Consider the following 6000-nt stretch of genomic DNA (forward strand, 5'->3'; position numbering starts at 1 on the left):
TGAAGCTGGTGGTTAACAGCAAAGACAGGCTTCCTGGGCTCCTGTCCCCACTCCTGCAGTCCCCTGCCAGTGTCTGTGGCAAGGTCCTAACCTCTTTTTGGCTCAGTTTCCTTTTTTTTTTTTTTTGAGACAGAGTCTCACTCTATCACCCAGGCTGGAGTGCAGTGGTGCAATCTCAGCTCACTGCAACCTCTGCTTCCAGGGTTCAAGCGATCCTCCTGCCTTAGCCTCCCAAATAGCTGGGATTACAGGTGCCCACCACCACATTCAGCTAATTTTTTTTGTATTCTTAGTAGAGATGGGGTTTCACCATGTTGGCCAGGTTGGTCTTGAACTCCTGACCTCAGATGATCTGACCACCTCAGCCTCCTAAAGTGCTGGGATCACAGGTGTGAGCCACCATGCCAGGCCAGTTTCCTTATTTTTGAAATGGGCACAATAACAGTTCCCACCGCTTCGGGCCATTGCTTGGATGAAATGAGTTAGTTTGTGCAGAAGTGCTTAGAACAGCACCCAGCTCACAAGTCCTTCTGAAGCCCCAGCCACCCTCCTCTACCTGCTGCCCCCTGCCAGGGCCTGGGCCCCTCCCTCCCTGAGTCCCTTACCTCCTCGGCTTCCCCAGGCCTGCCCTAGAGCCACCCTCTTTCTCAGCCAGTCCTCAACTTTATGACCTTTATCTCTGGAACGCTGATGTGAAGCTCCGATTTGAGGTTAAACTTAATTCATTTTATGCAGAAGAAAACCTTAATTCATTTTATGTTTTATGCTGACATATTTCTCAGTAGAACACAGCCATCATGTCTTCATACACCTTTATATACTCCAGGGCACAAGTGAAAAAATAAAGTTTTTCTGTATAGTCAAAACACATTATCATCGCTGACAAAATAATTCATCAATTCTGTCCAATAGTTGGTTCACAGGCAAATTTAGAGGCAACATTTAAAAACTGTAATGTCCTTCTTTTTTTTTTTTTTGAGACAGGGTCTCATTCTGTCACCCCGACTGGAGTGAGCCCAGTGGCATGATCTCAGCTCACCACAACCTCTGCCTCCCAGGCTCAAGCAATTCTCCCGCCTCAGCCTCCTCAGTAGCTGGGATTACAGACGCGCACCACTGCCACCCGGCTAATTTTTGTATTTTTAGTAGAGATGGGGTTTCACCATGTTGGCCAGGCTGGTCTCGAACTTCTGACCTCAGATGATCCACCCACCTCAGCCTCCCAAAGTGCTGAGATTACAGGCGTGAGCCACCGCACCCAGCCCGTTTTTTGTTTTTTTGTTTTTTTGGTTTTTTTGAGACTGAGTCTCGCTCTGTCGCCCAGGCTGGAGTGCAGTGGCGCGATCTCGGCTCACTGCAAGCTCCGCCTCCTAGGTTCATGCCATTCTCCTGCCTCAGCCTCCCAAGTAGCTGGGACTACAGGTGCCTACCACCACGCCCAGCTAATTTTTTGTATTTTTAGTAGAGACAGGGTTTCACCATGTTAGCCAGATGGTCTCAATCTCCTGACCTCGTGATCTGCCCACCTCGGCCTCCCAAAGTGCTTTTTTTTTTTTTTTTTTTGAGACGAAGTTTCACTCTTGTCACCCAGGCTGTAGTGCAATGGTGCGATCTCGGCTCACTACAACTTCCAACTCCCAGGTTCAAGCGATTCTCCTGCCTCAGCCTCCTGAGTAGCTGGAACTACAGGCACCTGCCACCACGCCCAGCTAAATTTTTTTTTTTTTTTTGAGACGGAGTTTCACTCTTGTCACCCAGGCTGGAATGCAATGGCGCGATCTCAACTCACCGCAACCTCTGCCTCCCAGGTTCAAGCGATTCTCCTGCCTCAGCCTCCCAAGTAGCTGGGATTACAGGCACAAGCCATCATGCCTGGTTGATTTTTGTATAGACGGGGTTTCGCCATGCTGCCCAGGCCAGTCTCAAACTCCTGAGCTCAAGCAATCTGCCCACACCTCGGCCTCCCAAAGTGCTGGGACTGTGGATGTGAGCTCCCCTGCCCGGCCAAAAGTTTAAAAATAAAGAAAAGAATGAGGCAGAAAAACATAACCAATATACGCAATCTCCAAAATAACAGGTGAAGCCCAGGTACCACAGGCTGAATGGCTGTGCACTCTGGTCCTGTCTATGGAAGAATTCACACAGCCTTGGATCTCAGCCCACAGGTGCGCAGGACCCCAGGAAAGCTTGCAAAATGGCTGTGGGGGCAGGGGGAGCATCTCATTAAAGGGACAAGAAAAAGCCATCATCGGGGTGGAGAATGATTTAAATGGCCTTGGGGAATTGCCGCAAGCTCTGTATCCCTCATAGCCTTACCACAAGGACAGGAGTCCTGGGTTTCTCAGGCCTCCTGATTTCAAAAGTTCCCTCCCCAACTCTTGTTGATACCCTCAGCCAGCTGGGGGTCCCAAAGTGGGCTTGAAAAATGTTTAGACGAGGGCCTTGTCCTCCCCTACCCTCTGCCCAAGAGGGACAGCGCTGTTATCCCAGATTCAGGCCCTGGAGCCCATCCCCACTGGCTGGGCAGTCTGAGTTTGGCTTGGGCCAGCAGAGCCCCCGGGTGCTCCAGCCCAACTTTGGCCATGCTGCCTAAGAGCGTCTTGCTAAACAGACGGCCTGGAGTCCTAGACCCTTGTGGGAACTGGAGCCTGTGCCAGCCTGGGGGCCCGGATCTCCTTCCTCCCAGTGCGGGGCCTAATCACTCATGGTCAGCAGGAGGCCTGCAGAGGGAGAGACGAGATTGGCCCTCCAATCCCTGCCTCTGGGAAAGGTGGCTGGGGCCAGGTTCTGGAGAAAGGACCTGGAGCTTCCAGGAAAGTTTAGGAAGCAGAGGGGGGACCCCTTGCCCTGCCAATTCAGACCACTCTCACGAGTTGGGGCCAGAATAATTAAGCGGCTTCCTCTGGCGCCTACTCTGAGGGGTCGGTAATGATGTCCAGCACTGTGATGAGGAGGATTCTGAGGCACCGTCCATGATTGAAGGAAGGAGCTCCTTGGAGATGTTGCCACCTTCGCCACAGTAGAGGACGGGTAGTGTGCAGATGTCTGCCACCCTGGAGGTAGGGTCTCTCCTTCCCCCAAGTTCTATGCATGATCTCAAGTATAGAGGGGTGGGGAGGTGTTATCAGGAGAATGATTCATAGTATTGCTCTCATTACGGTACAGCTCCCAGTCATGGAGCACCCACTTTCAGCCAGGCACTTCATAGATGCTGCCCTGTAGTAATCCTGAAATGCTAAGAGAATCGGCAAGGGCACGCATCTTGCCGATCTCTGAACATTTGCTTAATGGGGGCTGGGCATCATGATCCCATTTTACAGCTGGAACAACTGAGACTCCAAGCACCTGCCAAGGCCCCACGCTGGTAGGAGTGGGCCCCAAACCTGGGTGCCCTCTCGAAGGTACCCTCAAAGCCAGGGCCTGGCCTCCCGCTGCCTCTCCTAAGCCCCCACTCCAGGCCTGAGCTCCCCTGCTGATGGGGGGCAGGGGACACGCCATCTGTCTGCAGAGGCAGGGGTGCCACTGGGGGGGACATGCCACCCCCACAGGCAGTGGACGGGGCCTCCCTGCATCCGTTACTTGCCCCCTGCCCAGACTCTGCCCACCGCACAGCAGTGATAGATAGTTTGTGAAATACCCTGAGCTTGCGGTTGACCAGAATTCTGAAATAATTCCATTGAGACCGGAATTCATGCAATGTTCTGTATCCTGATGTGGTAAAGCAGGCTGCCCGCGGGGGCGCAAGGGGATGTGAAGGCCTGGGGATGGTGAGGCAGCCTCCAGGCCCTGCAGCAGGGGCTTCTGCCACCCCCCCTCGCCCACGGGCTCCGGAAGGCCCATCTGACAGGAGCAGGGCCCTGATAAGCACCACCTGACCAGGAGGCCCCCGGCAGAGAGATTAATGCACAAATTGTCAACAACCTCCCCATGCTGTACCCCCGCAGAGGAGCAGGGCGGGGGGGCACTGGGAAAGGAAGGACAGAGGAGGCCTCACCCGGAGAGAGGCAAAAGGACAGCTCAGCCCGGCCTTGCCCTGCGGCCTCAGCCTGGCTGCCCCACCTGCGCCAGCCGGGCTCTGGACACCTGGAGGGGGAAGAGGCCAAGGTGTGAAGGCAGGCTTGTATCATGGGCCAGTCTGATGCCCAGGCAGGTCCTGGCTGTGCAGGAGGGTGGGAGGGAGCTGCTGCCTGCTGAGCCTCCTCAGCCTGGAAGCTCCCCAAAGCCAGAGCTGACTCCAAACCTCCTGGCCCAGAACCCTGCGCTCCAGTCCCTGGCCCTGCCAGCCCCCAAGGTGGCTTCCCTGGAGGAAGACATGTGTTTCTCCTTGGCGAGCACTTCTCTCAGTGCTGCAGAGTGTCCCTGTGTTTCTGCAGCCAGGCAGGACTGGACTTGGCAGAGCACAGCAGGACTGCAGGAGGAGGCTGGGGGTTGCTCTGGGGTCATCATATTCAGGACCACACACGGTCGACAGGCTCAGGCCAGTGAAGTTCCCTCTCCTCATGGGACAACCAGAAGCTCAGGGGCAGCCTGGTGGGTTTTCTATAAAGCAAAATGCAGCCATTGAAAGGGCTGTCCTGGGTTCTGCCATTAGGAACTTCCTATTTCTTAGGTGGGGGAAACTTTTCTCTAAAGCAATGAGGGTACCAGCAAATCAGAGACATAAACTGAGGGCCACTGGCATACGGAGCTTGCTGCATGGGTTACCAGGTTTTTATTTTCTTTAAGTCCATTCTTTCAGGCTGTATTTCCAGCTTTGCTTTGGAAGCTCTGGCCACTCTGAGCCCACATTCCTTCGTGGCCCTATGCCTGGAGCTGAGCAGGGGCCACCCTGAAACAGGCCCACCCACTTCCCACCCCTGCTCCTCTCTGCAGTGAACAGAACAGTGAGGATCCAGAGTGTGAACCCCATGGACCGGGAGGAGTATGTGTCCCACAGGACAGCACTGGGGTTCACGCTTCTGCAGAGTCCCCAGCCTGGGGTCCGTCTCAATCATTCTCCCACCTCTGCTGGGAAACTCAGCTGCTGCAGTCACTTGTCATGGACTATTTTCATGCAGGTCCATCTTCCTCATTAGGTTGCCAAGGACATGGGACACAGGCTTAGGGGCCCCGGGGTTCGGGGACAAGGAGTGAGGTGAGGCTGCACAGACCTGAGTGCTCAGTTGAACCCTCTGAACCTTTTCAAGAGATCTGGAAAATTCTACTGTTCTTTTTTTTTTTTTTAAGAGGCGGTTTTGCTCTGTTGCCCAGGCTAGAGTGCAGTGGTACAAACATAGCTCACTGTAACCTCGACCTCCTGGGCTCAAGCAATTGCACCTTGGCCTCACAAATAGCTGGAACTACAGGCATATACCGCATGCCTGGCTAATTATTAAAATTTTTTGTAGAGATGAGGTCTCCCTCTGTTGGCCAGGCTGAACTCCTGGGCTCAAGCGATCCTCCCACCTCGGCCTCCCAAAGGTCTGGGATTATAGGCATGAACCTCTGTGCCAGATGGGAAAATTATATTTTTTAAGTAATATCTCTCAGGTTTTAAATGTTGAAAATGAATTCATCTTTCAGTAATGATAATAATATTCTATAAGGAAAAGAAAATACATCTGCCAGCTAGGAGATGGCAGCCTCCAATTAGGAGCAAGGAGGTTCACCAGATCCCATGCTATCTGGTCAGTTGGTGTCAGGAGGGAATAAAACTATCCCATGCAAAATTTTCTGATCATCTTTTCCAGCCCGGCCCAGGACTGATTCCAGCACCTACCTAAGTCAGATCCTAGCCAGTCCTCAGGGAACTAGGTATGGAGCAGTGGACAGAGAAGGATAATTAAAGCAATATAGTGTGACATCCTGTAAATGAATGGAGACTTTCCAGAGGAATTCACAAGAAATTGCTAACACTGTGTTTCTCTGGAAGAGAAGCTGGTAGGAAGCCGGAGATTCTGCTTGCCTCTGTATACCCTTCTGATCTGTCTGGATCCTTAGTATGAGCATGTGTTAACTCTT

General features: G+C 52.9%; 1 annotated feature.

Moving 5' to 3' along the window:
* Window positions 2609–3108: an enhancer, noted in NCBI's record as "H3K4me1 hESC enhancer chr3:128321651-128322150 (GRCh37/hg19 assembly coordinates)". NCBI's record gives its function as "activates a minimal SCP1, AML or CMV promoter by ChIP-STARR-seq in naive H9 embryonic stem cells {active_cell/tissue: H9 hESC(naive)}" and the evidence as "EXISTENCE:reporter gene assay evidence [ECO:0000049][PMID:30033119]".

This window comes from Homo sapiens, chromosome 3, assembly GCF_000001405.40.
Source record: "Homo sapiens chromosome 3, GRCh38.p14 Primary Assembly".
In the NCBI taxonomy this organism is placed as follows: Eukaryota; Metazoa; Chordata; class Mammalia; order Primates; family Hominidae; genus Homo; species Homo sapiens.